The sequence below is a fragment of the Homo sapiens genome, chromosome 15 (genome assembly GCF_000001405.40).
Source record: "Homo sapiens chromosome 15, GRCh38.p14 Primary Assembly".
NCBI lineage: Eukaryota > Metazoa > Chordata > Mammalia > Primates > Hominidae > Homo > Homo sapiens.
In genome coordinates, this window is record NC_000015.10 from 62,631,755 (window position 1) to 62,648,489 (window position 16,735).

Genomic DNA, 16,735 nt, shown 5'->3' on the forward strand with positions numbered 1-16,735 from the left:
TGTTTTTTGGTATAGACGGGGTCTCCCTATGTTTCCCAAGCTGTTGAATTCCTGGGCTCAAACCATCCTCGTGCCTTGGCTTCCCAAAGTGCTGGGATTATGGGCATGAGCCACCATGCCCGGCCTTGATAGTTTTATAGTGAGGTATTTTTTAATAGTCTCCTCTCTATAGATGATGATAAAATCTGTCAACCTCAGTTTCATCAGGAGCTGTGGTGATGTGCGAGCCCACAAGGATCACAGTAGGTACAGCCATTGGACCACCGGTAAGAGAGTGGCTCCAAAGTCTCTGTGGGCACTAGTTAGAAGTTATGTGTGCTCCCCCCGAATCTTTCATACAAACTTATTGTCACAGCTTTCTAGACAGCCCCAGCGCCTGCTTAGAGGCAGTCAATGATAATAAGTAGTTAACGGAGTACATAGTCTCATTCTGGGGACTAGTGCCCCTGTGGGGCGTGGCATTAAAGTTGAGCAGCTCTTGCTTGTGCTGGAGGCCATTTCTGTTCTGACTAAATCTCACCTGCTTAGGTCTTGTCTGGAAAGGTCGAGAAGGCCCCAGAATAATCTTGGAGCCCTTCAGGAACCTCAAGGACTCCTAACGACCTGAACCCTTAGAGGTGTGACTTCATCCTCGAATCACTTAGATGTTGGAAGGACTTTAGTGATCAGAGTGACCTAGGCTCTTATTCCAGACTTGTCACCCTGTACTGCTTGCTACTGTCCTCCCCGAGCCCTGTGGAAGCTCTTGGAGGGCAAGGCAGGACTCCTCTCTCACAGGCAGCAGCTGATCTACTACATGGCACCCGCCAACTCTCAGTGAGAGTTGCTGTGAGAGTTTAAGCCACATAAATGCAAGACCAGCCTTATTCCATCTTGTTTATTCCCTGAAGTAATCAGCACAGTATCTTGTGCATTATAGGTTATTGATAAATGGATGTAGATTGACCTGTATCCTTCCCCTAGGCTCAGAATCTGAACCTTATCCTCTATATCCACAAAATACTGTGTCCTAGATATTTATGTCTGCATTTCGAGGTGGTTGTGCAGAATGTGGAGGGAGACTCCACAAATCTGCCTCCCATCCCTTTTTATATGATGGAGGAGCGAACTGACAAGGAAAAACACCATTTGGTTTCATCTGTATTAGAGTAACCGAAAGTGGGCTTGTGTTGCTGTTGAATTTATTTATTTTAATTCCAGTATAACAAAAGCCAAAATAAAACAAACAACAAACAAAGTATAATTCTGCCACTCTAACAAAATGCTAACATAGTCTCTTCCCTACTTGGCTGGAAGCACCCTAAATTCTATGTAGCATCAATCATATCCTATTCTCACAGATATTTTTCACAGTGCCATGTAGTTAATTTTGTTAGGTGGTGCAGCACGGTGGTATTATAGCAAGGCACGGGCCCTGGAGGCAGATATGCCCTGGTTAGAGTCCTGCTCCTGTCACTTGCTAGCTTTGTGACCTTGGGCATAATGTATACATATGCATATGCCTATGCCCTTGCCTACACCAGCACCTGCATCTATGCTTATATTTGTTTATTTGTTTTGGAGATGGTGTCTTGCTCTGTTACTCAGGCTGCAGTACGGTGATGTGATCATAGCTCACTACAGCCTTGAACTCCTGAGCTTAAACCGTCCTCCTACCTTAGGCCCCTGAGTAGCTAGGACTGCAGGTGCACACCACCATGCCCAGCTAGTTTTTATATTTAAAAAATTTGTGTAGAGACAGAGTCTTGCTATGTTGCCCAGGCTGGTCTCGAACTCCTGGACTCAAGCAATCCTCCCACCCCAGCCTTTGAGTCAATGGGATTTTAGGCGTGAGGCCCAGCTATGCCTCTGTTTACATATTCACACACGTTTATAATTATTCTACTGATTACCACTTACATTTAACTGTACTATTTGCTATTTTGTGTCAAAAGAACTATATTTAGGCTTACTGCACTTATTAATATCCTAATTGGGCCTGTATTTAGCCTGGCTAAATGGATTAATTTGCCGGGGCTGTCCCCTAACAAAATACCACTAACTGGGTGGCTTAAATAACAAAAATTTATTGTCTCACAGTTCTGGAGGCTGGAAGTTCAAGGTCATGGTGTTGGCAGGGTTGGTTCCCTCTGAAGGCTGTGAGGGAAGGATCTGTTTCAGGCCTCTCTTGTGGCTTTTAGATTGCCATCTTCTCCTGTCCTCTTTACATCATCTTTCCTGTGTATCTGTGTCCAAATTTCTCCTTCTTATAAGGACAACGGTCAATTCGGATTATGACCTGCTCTAATGACCTCATTTTAACCTGATTGCCTCTGTAAAGGTGCCATCTTCAAATAAGGTCGCAGTCTGAGGTCCTGGGGGTTAGGACCTTAACATATGAATTTTGGAAGAAACACAATTCAGCCCATAGCAGTAAGCTAGGTGCACTGTTGGAGGACAAGATGAATATCAATTTTGTAGGTTGGTGCTGACAGATGACACAAGATTGTAGCACAAATTCCCATTGATGAGGCCCCTTTCCAATTCAGGGAGTTCTTTAGTCCTGCCATTTCTTTAGGGATTCTTACCTTTTATCCCTGTCTCTCTTTGACTGGTCTGTGCAGTTCTTCTGTTATTTTTCCAGCTTTATCTTAAGTTTTATATTTATTTTTGGAATTGTTTTTCAAGAATAAGTCCAGGTTGTGGAGATACAACAAACGTGACAGTATCTTAAAACAATCCTTTAAAACACTGTCCTCAACTGTGCTGTAGAGAATTCATCGTTTCATGTCATCTCTCATGGGGACATGTTTATTTCTTCCTTATGCTTTTGATGAAGTAATATGTACGTGTCCAGGCTGCAATTTGATTTGTTTTTTTGCTGTTTGAAAATACAAATCTTATTCATAACTGACTGATGAAATTGGTAAGACTTTTTATCTGGCTTTATTTTATTAACTAAAGGAAAATGATACTTCATCAGCATACTTCAATTTAGTTAATATTCTTTTTGTAATTCGGGTTCGATCTGGTAGGCAGTTCTAAAAACCTGGGCTTGCAGAAAGCAGCACGTGGCTGCTCACCATGCACATCCACATGGCTTTCTGTAGTAAAGTCTAGTCCAATCCTTCTTCTTCTCTCTGTCATTTCGACTGTTTGCAATATATTTTAAAATTTGTATTAAACATTTATCTTTTCTCTGCCTCTTTTCTGTAAATCTAGTTTATTGTCTATGCTAGATGGTTTTTCTCCCATTCATTCCTTTGTCAATTCTGTCTCTTGGTCTGGTCCCTTGCAGCTTGAGCCCTGGATGGCAGGATGGTTCTGTGGGGTGGATTGAACTATAAAACCTGGATTGATTATTGGCCTTCTCAGTTGTTAATGCATATTCATTTAACTAACGCATAAATCAAACAGCTGATACTTGTACATTCAGATTTCATTATTTCTTGTTGTTTTGTTATCTTCTGGGTTGTTTTGTAAAAATACTGATGATTCCTTTAACAAAAGGAAAAAATTTTAGCTTAAGAAAATAATCTGAAATAAAAAACAGAAGAGGTTTCAAAAAAAAATCCTTATTGCATCCTTATTTATGATAGGAAAAACTTGTAAATAGCTGATATACCCAAAAAGATACAGCTATTAAATTAAATTATGGGGCCTTATTTACAATATTATGTATTTATTAAAAACAATGTAAAGAGTTTACAATACTGTGGGGGAATATTATGTAATTAGAATGGGGAAAACTTAGGATATAGAATTATATAGAGCATATCATCTCAACTACATAAAATATGCATACATATTGGAAGGAAATGTGTCCAAATGTTAGTGGTATTTATCTTTGAGTGGGGTGGGATCAGACATGGAAGTCTAGATTCAGACAGACCTGGGTTAAACCTTCCTTTCCTCTTGTGTTTGCCTGTTACTTAACAAGACATAATCTCTATTAAGCCTAATTTATCTAGGGTAAATAGGATCTCCCTTACCTAATGATTTTCCAGAATCATTAGGTAAAGTGCTTAGTTCAGTGTATGACATATAATAATGCAACAAGTGAAAGTTCAATTATTAATAAAAACCACATTATCAATAAAAAACCATTTTCCCATTTTCCTGCATCCCTGACACAAGCACTGTATCGATTTCTCTATGTTCCCTTCCATTTTAAACAGCACACGTTAGGAGGCAGAACCCCCAGATCCGTGGCCTTGGTCGAGTTCACATGACTACTCTGTTTTGGTTGTCCTGCTTGGGCGAAGTCTAAACCTCTTAGCATGGGGTTATGTTGAGGATTCAGTGCCTTAACATAAAAAGGGCTTAGCATCAGTGCCAGGCGCGTAATCACTTACATGTGTTAGCTGCTACTATATACTTAAAATTTTTAAAAATATATGTATGTATTAGTTTTAATTCTTACATTCAGAAGGATGGGAAAATTACAGCAAGGATTTACATAACCTGTAGAGAACTAGACTTAATGACTTCTAAGTCTAAGATCAGGGATACTGTAATAGATAGATAGATAGATAGATAGATAGATAGAGTTTAACTAAAACATTGCAAGTTTTAGGTATAAAATGGGGGTGACCTTGGAATGAGTGGTGGTAGAAAATGAGGAGCCTTTGGAAAATCCAGTTTGGTCTGTGACTGCTGGATTGGCAATGTGATGATATGCAGATGGACTTTGAGTCTACACAAATGGAAAGTTTAGTCAGGTTTCTTGGTTTGTTTCAGTTCTCCAAATATATGCCAGATTTTTAGGTCCTTCTGATTTATAGTTAATAGGTTAACATAGATAAGTGGCAAGAATAGGTTTTTAATTTCTTTCCTTTTTTTCTTCAAAATTGAAGAAAATTTTGCCCAAGTCAAAAAATGTGCTTTTGCCTTTTTGAGTGATGTGTGGTGTGGGGTCTCAGCCTTTTCTTGTCTGGTCCTTGCAGGGGAAGGAAGTGGAGCTAGGAAGTGCAAGATTCTTCCATTTTTTAGGTGAAAGCAAACATGGTAATATAGGTTTGCATGGTCACTCGGCAACCCAAACCCATGCTGCTTTTAGCAGATGTCCTTCAGTGGGGGCCACACTATCTCACAATCAAATTAAGCGCAGCATGAAGAGAGTCACTTGAGAAGGAGCTTGCGCACAGTTCTTGTCACTCATTCTTCCAGGTTCAGTCTGGAAGAAAACACTGAATGCCCTCCCTGAGCACTTGTAGAACAAAGCTTCCCCCACCCCAACCCCACGTAAAAGCCAAGTATATCTGTATCCATCACAGTGGTGTGTGCCTTAATGACAAAGCTCGTGTTGCTCAGCCTCAGCAGGAGCCTGCAGAATATGCCTTCCTGAGATTGTATAGGCTGGCCACCAAGGGTCAACGAAAACAAGTAATGGGATGAGTTATTCCCTGATATCTAGACAAATGGTAAATAATTCATAGTTCACCTGGTCTTGACCTTCACTTTTATTTTTCTTCTATTTTTTTCTTGGAGCTGACCTTTTACATTTCTATTGTATCCATTTTTGTAAACAATCTACTTTCAATCATTTGAATAAGTTAATGTATAAAAGAATTCAAAGTCAGAGTTCAGTTTAGAGCCACCTTCTTTCTGAAGCTTGTAACAAGAGGAGGAAAATAGCAGGACTGAAAGGTAGACTCCAAGAGGACTGAAATGTATGGATGATTTATTCAGCTGTCTTGGCAACCACAGGGGAATAGTGAGATTGCTCGAGAGCTGACACAGCCTTCTTACGGTTCGACAAAAAACGACAGTATCTTCCACATACAGGCCAGGAATTCATGTATCTTCCCAGAACCTCTGTTTTTATCTGTGGAAGGGGGGTGCCAAAAAATGCAAAATCCTTTTAGCTTTCCAGCCTATTGATCATATCCAGGGACAAGATATACATGGAAGCGCCCTGGAGCACTTCATTGCTGAGTGGTCATCAGGTGATAGCATCTCCTGTTTGTTTCACTGGTGACTCAGGCCAGGCGGGCTGGTGTTGGAGCAGGGTCACAGCTGAGTGCTCTGAGAGTTGAGGGGAGCAGATGGATCCTTGCTTGTTGGGGCAGGGTTTAAAGACTAGTTTATGGAAGCAAAGCCGGATGCTGGGCTGACGGGTAACGGAGGACCTGGAGCAGAGGGTGGTAACATTTCAGACACACAGGCTGAAATAATTGAAGCAGTTTTGCAGGGATTGAAAAATCATCCATTTCATTAGTATCGAGGATTCTTATGATGTGCCTAGGAGACAGGAAGCGGGGTAGATGAGCCTGGGCGGTGGGTGGGGGCCTTAATCTTTGGGCTAAGCAGCTTGAACCTGATTTTCCATACATTTCAAAATGCTATGTGTCCATTAAAGATCAGCTCTAGGCAAAATCATAAAGCTGTGAGAACATAGGCGTCGGCTCCCCTCTCTTTCAGGCGGTCCTTTTTTCTTACTCCCCTGCTTACTGCCCTTTCTCCACTGTGCCAGAGTTCTAGTGTGTTCTGTAGTGCACTACCCCTTCCTCAGCAGAATTTCCTCTTAATTAGGCATCATCTTTAATAAAGGGCAGCACTCAGCTCAGTTGCCCGGAGGGTTCTGAAACTTACCATTTCTATGACAGTGATAGGCAGCAAATGCACATATCCATTTTTATAGCAAAGTTTAACTGGGGACAAATCTTTATGACCAACAATATACTTAATGATGGAATTCCAGGTGCCAGTGCCAAGAACTACCTGGCAATGGGAGGGTAGGTTGGAGGGATCCTGGGAGGACTCTAATGAACCGTGTGCATACCCTCTCTGTTCACTGTGGCAGTGTGAGAAGGTCTGGTTGTGCTTTTCTAGCAGTGTGAACTTTGGGAAGGTCTCTTGACTTCAAGGTTTTAGTTTCTTCACCTGAAAATGGAAAATAGTATCAAAGGTCTTTTCTCATCATTCTTGTATTCCATGTTGTGGGCACTCTCTTTGGTTCTTGGTGGAGGGTAGAAATGCTGACTTCTCCCCACCCCATTCATGCATTAAATAAATATGTATTGAACCCTTCTCTGTGTCAGGTACTTTATTGTGAGCAATACACGTGGTCCTTGCCCTTGGGGAGCTTCCAGTTATTTCTGACTGATGTGGCATTGGTTCTTTTTTTGAGTTGTGTATTTGCCCAGATGGAGAACTTCATCTTGTTAGCCATGAAGTTCAGCATCTGTGGTTCCTGGAGCGGGCTGTTGTTGAGTAGACATAGCTTGGTCTGCTGGATGTTGGCCCTCTGTTCATCCTTTAGTTGGGATATTACTGTGCATAATTCCTAATGACTAATTTAGGGAAAAATCTGGTTAAATCTTTCCATGGAGTGTTATGAAGTCCACAGATATTTATAGAGCACCTACTGTATAGTGGGCACTGTGATAGGCCTTGAAATACAGAGATGACTCCATTGATGTAGTTATTGCTCTCTGAGGCCAGCAGGGGAGATGGACTTCTAATGGCAAATATATTCCTGACACTAGGTTATAGATCTATATCTATATCTATATCTATATCTATGTGTATATCTATATCTATCTTATTGCTGCTATATTGGGGACTGTGGTGGCCCTGCCGTTTACTTAGGGATATATGGGGTTTGCACAGCAGCCCTGGAAGCCAGCAACTTGGCTGGAATTCTTACTGACCTGTGTGGGCTGCTGCTAAGTTCACACTTGTGGGGGTGGTTAATTATTTCTCCTTTGTTCATTTAGCACTTGAGTTTTAACGATAGTCATTTCTAGTTGAAGTGTTCAAACAGTAGTCCTGGCATCTCTTGCCTCCATAAGGGAGAACTGAGGGATTCTTACATAAATGTTCTCTCTTGTTTTCTGGTCTCCCTACTCTGGCTGCAAACAGGAGCTTAACTCTCCTGGTCCTATTCTAAGTGGCTGTTAGCCACATGGAAAAATCACATGAGCTGTGTTCATTGCTGCTTTTCCTGAGCTTACTATCGCATGGAGCGCTCTCAAGTGTAGATACCGAGACTAGGGGAGCCTCTCCACTCAGGCCCTGCCCTCTGGGTTCCCACCAGTTGGGAAGAGATAACCAGGTCCCAGTGGGTTGACAAAATTATTAGAGAGGGCCTTGGTAACTTCCAGGAAATGTGGCTCCTTGGTAAAGCTGGACTGACGATGAGATCAAATGGGATGCCCTGCTTCCTTCCCTCCTGGTCCCTCCTTAAATTAAAGATAGCTGGCTCCCAGTGAAGGCATGACTTGACTTACCTTCCTAGATGGGGACAGATAGGCACCTGTCTATGCCTGGCCTGCTCAGTGCCTGGAGTCTGAATGTTCAAGGCAAGCTTCAGGGTACCTGAGCCCAGACTGTCCTGCCGAGCGAGGTGGAGGGCAAGACCCTGGCTTTGGCATTTGCAGCACTTCTGGGTGGCTGTGACCCAGTGCATGGTGGGTTCTTACCTGCAGAGGAGCTACTTCTCTTCCTCTCTTGTAGAAGACAGGTAGGGAGTGGAGAAGGGGAAGCTCTTTCTTTGGTGTTTCTTTGAGAGAGCTGAATCATTCCTGGGAGATTGAGATGTAGACACAGATGAATTATAGCAAGTACAGCCATCCAAAATTGGGCACAGAGGCCTTCCCAGGAGGTCACGGTGGAGAGTGAGTGGCTAGAGGCAGAGAGAAGAGGGGGACGGTGGCCAGCTCTTACTCTTGTAGACCTCCACGGCCCCATTGAGGTATGGTAGCCTGGCCCTCTGGTCTTGCCAGGTGGGCACAAACCCCTGCTTTACACAGGAGTGTGCAGAGCCCCCATTGTGCCCCCCTAAGTTGCCCCTAGGCAGAGCTCATGAACAAGCCCCAGGGTGGAAGCTGATAGTAATGCCAGCCTTGCGCCAAAGGGTGAGGGCTTTTTCCCTCTTGAATTCTTAGGTTGGGGGAACCTAAGTGACCTCCAAGAGAAACAGCCTAGGTGCTATAGGAGTTAGCTGCTTCGCACACACACTCAGCCTCACAGCTCATCCTCAGAAAGTTCTGTGTCTAGGAAAAGCATGTTGTGTGACTGCGATAAGAATAAACACAGGAACTATGTTTATTTATTTTTAACTTTTATTTATTTATTTTTTTGAGACAGAGTCTCACTCTGTCGCCCAGGCTGGAGTGCAGTGGCGCGATCTTGGCTCACTGCAACCACTACCTCCCGGGTTCCAGCAATTTTCCTGCCTCAGCCTCCTGGGTGGCTGGGATTACAGGCGCCCGCCACCATGCTCGGCTAATTTTTGTATTTTTGGTAGAGATGGGATTTCACCATGTTGGCCAGGCTGGTCTCAAACTCCTGACCTCAGGTAATCTACCCACCTCAGCCTCCCAAAGTACTAGGATTACAGGCATGAGCCACTGCACCCAGCCCACAGGAACTATATTTAAGTGAATAAAGGGCTAACTAGAAGGTGAGCTCCATGTAGACAGGAGTTGTACCTGTCTTTGCCCCCTAATGCCTGTTAGGTTATCTAGTACATAATAGATACAAAATAAACAATAAAATGATATTTGTAGCTCAGATAGTGGCCGACTCAAGTATGCTGCTTCCATTGTTTGTGCAACTCCCATGACTAATGTTATTAATAATAATAACAAGCCCAGGCCGGGCACGGTGGCTCACACCTGTAATCCCAGCACTTTGGGAGGCCAAGGCAGGTGGATCACTTGAGGTTGGGAGTTTGAGACCAGCCTGGCCAACATGGAGAAACCCCATCTCTACTAAAAATACAAAGTTAGCCAGGCATGGTGGCACCTGCCTGTAATCCCAGCTACTCGGGAGGCTGAGGCAGGAGAATCGTTTGAACCGGCTACTCGGGAGGCAGAGGTTGCAGTGACCCGAGATTGCGCCACTGCATTCTTGCCTGGGCTACGAGTAAAGCTCCATCTAAAAAATAAAAATAAAAAAAAAATAATAATAACAAGCCCTTACCTAAGCCTTTTCTCTGTGCCTTTGACTCATTTAATTCTCTAGCGATCTTATAGGTAGATCTGTTATTATCTCCCATTTTGTAGAGGAGGAGACTGAGGCAGATGGCAGTTAAGTGACCAGCTCAAGTCACGCAGCTGGTAAGGCAGGTGGGGTCAGGGCACTTCGTGGTCCTCCCTTACAGGCAGAGATCCAAGGGAAGGCTGCTCATCTTGACCAATGACAGGCATTTATTTTGAAGAGAAGGAGGCCTCTGCTGGAGCTGAACTTGTTTGTCCCTGGGTGAACCAGGGTGATCCTGAGCAGCCTGCACTGCTGCCATCATCCTGGGCTCTTTACAGCTCCCTGGGACTGAAAAGTATATTTTAACAGGACAATGTCTGGGTTTCACCACTGGTTTCGTCAGCTCCGCTTCCACAAAGGAAACCACAGAAGGGTTTTGTGTTGGATCAAGCAACCTTCACACATACAATGAGGGCAGAAATGGTCAGAGTGAGACAAGATTATGAAAAGAAACACAATGCAGGTTTTATGAATTTATACCCAGTCTTTGAGTAAAGAAAAAACAAAAACAACCTTAAGATCCAATAAGATAGTAGTCATTCAAATTCGGGTAAACGAAAAATGAACAATAAGATAAAATAGAAAAAGGGATTAGACTATAACAACACTGCAAGAAATTGTACACAGATTTGGCTCTGAAGTTTCACGCAGTCAAACTAGAAGAGGAAACCTGATCAGCAATCCTAACCTCAGAGTCTGCACCATGAAAAGCCCGGAGAGGGGTTCGGGTGCAGAAGAGTAGACGCCAGGACCAGTTGCAGGCTTTGCTGCCCTGAAAACATCACAGTGGACAAGGAGCATAAATCTTTATCGAGGTGTGTTGTCTGAGCTGCCTCATTTTCACAGGGCTTCAGTGGATGTAAATTTCTCACAAGTGTGGAAAATACACACTCATCTTTAGTCTACATTTCTAGGTTGCTATATGTTCTAATCCTACTTTCTTTTTGTTGTTGTTTTTGTTTGTTTGTTTGTTTTCTGTTTTTTTTTTTTTTGAGACAGAGTCTTGCTCTGTCACCCAGGCTGGGGTGCAGTGGCACAATCTCTGCTCATTGCGGGTTCAATGAGCCTCCCGGGTTCAAGCGATTCTCCTGCCTCAGCCTCCTGAGTAGCTGGGATTACAGGTGCCCACCACCACGCCCAGCTAATTTTTATATTTTTAGTAGAGAAGGGGTTTCGCCATGTTGGCCAGGCTGGTCTTGAACTCCTGACCTCAGGTGATCTGCCCAACTCGGCCTCCCAAAGTGCTGGGATTACAGGCGTGAGCCACTGCACCTGGCCTTAATCCTACTTTCTTTTTGCTATAGGGTAAGTCATAGTACTTGATTCCAACAAGTGTCCTTTTTGCCAGGTACTTATTTTGTTGTGAGTGGTGCTAGAAGCAGCTCATTGCTGTGGTTCTTGTGGGGTGGTGAATAAATCCCATATGACTGGGTTTCCCTATGTCAGTGATCATCTTGGGTGAAAATAATTAAAATATCTTGTCTTTAAATATAATGTTGTAGATTACAAAGTATTGGCCTTTTAGAGACATTCCTGGGAAGTCAGTTGTTGGCCTTATCTCAAGCTTGGAAAAACTAAATCTTAATAAAATGGGGAGCCAGAAGTGAGAAGGCAACCCTGGGGCCTTTTAGTCTTACACTCGTGTGCAGTGCTCTGTAAGAATGATTAGTTTGGTTCCAGGATTTTTTTTTTTTTTTTTTTTTTTTTTTTTTTTTTTGGTATATTGTGTTCCTGTGATGCTTTTTTGCAATAGTTGTTTTTGGGTGATAAAAAAAAAGTTGAGGCCACAAGTCTCATAGTGAATGTAGTATTTCTTGTCTGTTGAACACCTACCCTGAACTACCCTCCATTCCATGCCCTGCCCCCTCTTGAGATGTAAGGATGAGGAGACTGAGGATCCAACGGGTATAGTTGGCCAAGCATTGAGTATCTATCAGGAAGCTCCTTCTGTGGGAGCAGGTTACCTCCTGCTCTCTGAAGGCAGCAGAGGGGAATTGACATGTCCAGAGGTCAAAGGCATCAGGAGGTGTGGAATTGAGCCTGCACCTCAGACTCTGCACCCAGGGTCCTTTCCGTGAACCCAGACTTAGCCACTCACCTTCTCCGCAATAGACCCGGGCAGCCATGTGCACTTGGTGCAGAATAGAGATTATGTATGGTGAGGAAGGGCACTTAGCTGTCCTGGGACTGTCTCTAGGACTATAATAAGGTGGAAACCATGTCTATGTAGATAACTTCCCTATGGAGTTTACAGCAACCATGTGATGTGCACTTTTGGATTACAAAGTCTTAAAAGCATAAATCTGAGCTACCGCCTGTTCCTCTGCCCCCTCCTAGCATACTTGCTCAGGAGACAAGTCTATACCTGCTGGGCCACCCCTCTCTTCCATCTCTCTCCTGAACCTGCTACTCCAGGCTCTCCCCCGCGCCACCCACCGCCCCGCCCCCATCCCACTAAAGCCCTCCAATTTGCCAGATTCAGTTGCAATGTCTCAGTTGCATTTTACCTGACCTGTGACCAGCAATGGGTACATGCGATCTCTCCCTTCTGTTTGATGTGCTTTCTCCTGGGTTCTACCCTCTGTCTGTTCTCTTCCCTCACCTACCCCTGTGCCTCCTTTGCCAATTTTTTCTCGTCTGCCAATTCAGAATGTTGTTCCCAGGGCTGAGTCATTACTGCTCTCCCTCACTCCCTAGGTGGTCTTTCTAGCCCCTCCCACCCAGTTCTCTCTCCATCTTTGCGTTCAATTCTATATTCCACCTCTCCACTGAATACCTCTCAAGGAAACTCACCTCCAAATCTTTGTCCCCAGCAGCCTTTCTTGACAGAGGTTTTCCTTCATGTCCTCCTGTTTCTGCTTCTCTCCTTCCTGTCTGCTTCCCAGCTCTCTGAGCCTCTCTCCTGTGCACCTTGCGGACCCCGCAGCCCCAGGCGTCTTGCTGTGCCCTGCAGGGCTCCCTCCTTTGATTCTGCTGCCCCTTTTGGTGCTTTCTCCTTGCTCCTCTGTGTGTCTTCTGCTTCCTTCTGAGCTCCAGTGTTAGGTCCTGCTGTTACATTTGGCTCTCGGGTCCATGTCATGGCTCTCTCTTGGCTTCAGTGGAATCTCTCTCTGCATGGTTAGGGGGACCATTCATTTGCCTTTCAGAAAGCTCAGTTTTTAGCCTGGGAAGGGCAGACTTCACGCAGCAACGCTTACAACACTTCGTTTTCCGAGGGAACAGACGATATTAACCATCCCATCCTCACCGTTGCATCCCATAAACAGCATCCATGACAGCATGGAGCTTTGTGGCTTTCCTCACTGACTCTTACCACCAGTCATGCTTATGGATTTTAGCAATTGTTGCCAGCCCCAGGAGACAGACTAGCCCACGGAATGATCTGCATCACAGCAAATTAGTCCATTTATCTCTAGAGTTTAAATTTTATTTCCCCCAATCGGGGAGTTGCTGGGTTAACTAGGCCTATAAAGAGAGGGGTGGAGGAAGCTTTTACATATGGCTTTAAAAGTCCTCAATATTGCAGTTGGGAATTGCCAGATATTTTGAACCCCTCTGCTGTGTCAGCAATCCAGCCACTGCCTAGGCCTTAGTTACTTAATTCAGTTTCAGGCAGATTCCCAGTGAACACTGCTGTTGTTTATTGAGAAGTGTATCCTGACCTTTCTCAACTAAGGAATAGTTTCACAATTTTCATGGCAAAATTCATTCAGAATGCAAGCAGGGGTCAGAATGACATTGCAGTTGGACGGCCTGAAAGGTTGCTTTGTGAGACCGTGTAAACCATGCCCGCATTCACCAAAGCATCTGTTGAAAAACATCTCCTGTATCCATGTGACCCAGCCACCTGTCGTTAGGACGCCAGCAATCAAGCATGCTGAGAAGCTGAGACCCTGGAGGCACTCGCTGCACTGCCTGGGCCTGGGCAGCCTGTTGTCCCCTCTGCCTTGTGGCCATCTTGTTGCCTCCTAGCACCTCCCTTCTTCCGTGGGAAGAAGCTGGAGTCCAGGTTTACTACCTGCAGGTTCTCTCATAAAACACAAGAAAGAGAGTGAGCTTGAAATACCTGTGGATTGATGTTACCTGGGCTGCTCTAAGATTCTATTAGCTACTAACTATAAAGGGCCTTGTTTTGCTTGCTAGGATGACACTCAGCTGGTTCTTCAGGCACAAAGAAAAAAGCGTTTGTGATACAGGTTTCTTTCTGTCTTGTGCCCAAGGAGTATATTTGATAGAGACTGGCTTGGGTTAAGTGAGTAGGGGACAGGTAAGTTTCTGGCCATGAAATAGAGCAGGCACTGGAAATACACCGTGAGCCACCAACTCAAAGGAAAAACACTGAGTTGTTGAACTTACATTTTTAAAAGAAAGCATTTATGAGCAAGTTCAAACTTAACCTAAACCTGTGTCTCGTCTCATCTCGTCTCATCTCTTTTCTTTTCTTTCTTTTTTTTTTTGAGACAGAGTCTTGCTCTGTTGCCCAGGCTGGAGTGCAGTGGCATGATCTCAGCTCACTGCAACCTCTGTCTCCCGGGTTCAAGCGATTCTCCTGTCTCAGCCTCCCGAGTAGCTGGGATTACAGGTGTATGCCACCATGCCAGGCTAATTTTCATATTTTTAATAGAGACCGTGTTTCACCATGTTGGACAGGCTGTCTCGAACTCCTGAGTTCAAGTGATCCGCCCCCCTCAGCCTCCCAAAGTGCTGGGATTACAGGCATGAGCCACTGCACCCAGCCACCTGTGTATTTTCTGAAACTATTGAACTGGAGAAGAAACAAAATATCTCCATAGTTTGTCTAAATCAAATCAGAATTGAGTTGCATTTTATTCCCTTTGAGACCCCAATCACGTGAAGCTTCTTGGTACCCTTTGGGTTTAAGATTGGCCTCTCTGGCCTCATGTTGATCTTTTCTTGGGATTCTATTTTATGCACTGTGCAGGGCTGATATCATTATAGCCACTTTATTTGTGAAGAAATTGAGGCAGAGTGGCCAAAGTGACTTTCTCAGATTGACACAGGCTCTTAGTGATGGAGCTGGGCCCAGAATCCAAGGGTGGTGGAGCTTTTGTGCCAAGAGGAGCACCTGAGAGGGCTTCCCTGATTCTTCTCTGTCCCCAGGTGCTGAGAGGACCCAGGGAACTGAGGCTGTCTTTAGGACCCAGTCATAGGTGCCCAAGGCTCTCTGCCTCTTGCCTTGAGGACATTAACCCTAGAAATTCCACTCCTAGGACCTTCTCTCAGAAACCCCAAGGAGGGGGACTACTCAGAGGGAGGTGTGGTGAACATCTGGAGCTCCCTCCTCCTAAGGGGTTCTACTTGTCACCCTGTAGTAATAACTCTTAGCCAATATGCTGTTGTTGTCCTCCTTTAAATTTTTCAAAATTGATTTGTAAAATTTGTTTTGTACCTAAAGTGTACTCTTTATTTGCTGTTTTATTCTCTTTCCATGTTTAAAGTTGATTTTAAAGTCCAGCACTTTTTTTGTTTTTTTTTCCCCAAGACAAATTATTATCGTGAACATCAGGGTTTGTCTCTTTGTGTTTTCCAGACATTCTAAGTGAGACTGTCCACATCATCTAGGAAAATGGTGGCCCTGTCCTTAAAGATTTGTGTGCGCCACTGCAACGTGGTGAAGACCATGCAGTTTGAACCATCTACAGCTGTGTACGATGCGTGTCGAGTCATTCGGGAACGGGTGCCTGAGGCACAAACTGGGCAAGGTAGGTCATGGGTTATTTACTGGCTTCTTAAAACGTGTTTGCATGTTTTTCACTTTTTTGCTAAAGAGACAGAGGCTCCAAGTGGTACACAAGCCTATTAGTGCATATGTTTCAAATGAAATACCTTCTTAGATCAGACACTACCTGCTTCCTCTGTGAGACTTGTGATTACAGTGACCATGCCCACTGCTGAGTCATCATTGTCACTGTGCCCAGCAACTTGACCCTCCCATGCATGAGGATTATGCTCTGCGGTTTACAGATCACATTCTCATGTATCATCTCATTGTCCCAAGAAAGTGCAAATGAAGCTGCCCTAACAGTATTGGCGGTATGTGTCCTAAACCCTGTTTCCCATGCATGAACGCTTTCCACTGCCATTGGAACCCAGGGCAGGTCTTATATTTCAAGTTTTTTGACAGGGACTTTATAAATTTTATCTCAAACCTTAAAAAAAAAGACATTTGTGATATATGTTTTGTTTGAAGTTTGGCTAAATCACTCATCCCCGTTAATCTGAGTTTAAACAAAAGCCACTTGTACCATTTTATTTTCCCCTTCCCTTTGTCTTCTCTCAATTTGTCTTTCTTTTATTTAGTATTTGACAGGCAGTTGAGAAATTGGATCCCTTCCAAATCAGTAAGTCTTTAGGTGAAAGTCGGATGAAACTTATCTTAAAAATGGAAAGAATAGGCCAAGCATGGTGGCTCACACCTGTAATCCAAGCACTTTGGGAGGCCAAGGCGGGAAGATCGCTTGAACCCAGGAGTTAGAGACCAGCCTAGGCAACAGGTTGAAACCCTGTCTCTAGTAAAGTCTGAAAAATTAGCTGAGTGTCGTGGTATGTGCCTGTAGTCTCAGGGCAGGAAAGTAGTTTCAACCCAGGAGTTTATGGCTGCAGCAAGCCATGATCCAGCCACTGCACTCCAGCCTGGGCGATGAAGCGAGACCCTGACTCAAAAAAAAAAAAAAAAAAAAAAAAAGGAAGAATAAAAATCAAACATCACAAGGGTAATTATAAATACAAAAATATCTTCTTGAAA

General features: G+C 44.0%; 1 protein-coding gene and 1 long non-coding RNA gene across 3 annotated transcripts in view; one reads left to right on the forward strand and one right to left on the reverse strand.

Moving 5' to 3' along the window:
- Positions 1-16,735, forward strand: part of TLN2 (talin 2) — a 454,082-nt gene that overhangs the window by 241,205 nt on the left and 196,142 nt on the right. For both annotated transcript variants that reach the window (NM_015059.3, NM_001394547.1), the window contains one exon: positions 15,521-15,692. In NM_015059.3, coding sequence (NP_055874.2) covers positions 15,557-15,692 — 136 coding nt within the window. In that variant the 5' untranslated portion in view covers positions 15,521-15,556. The remainder of the gene's footprint in view (positions 1-15,520; positions 15,693-16,735) is intronic.
- MGC15885 (uncharacterized protein) lies at positions 5,418-13,427 on the reverse strand. Its single transcript, NR_026897.1, has 3 exons — positions 12,763-13,427; positions 8,406-8,608; positions 5,418-6,864 (listed from the first exon to the last, which is right to left on the reverse strand). It is a non-coding gene; the product is annotated as an uncharacterized protein MGC15885 (long non-coding RNA).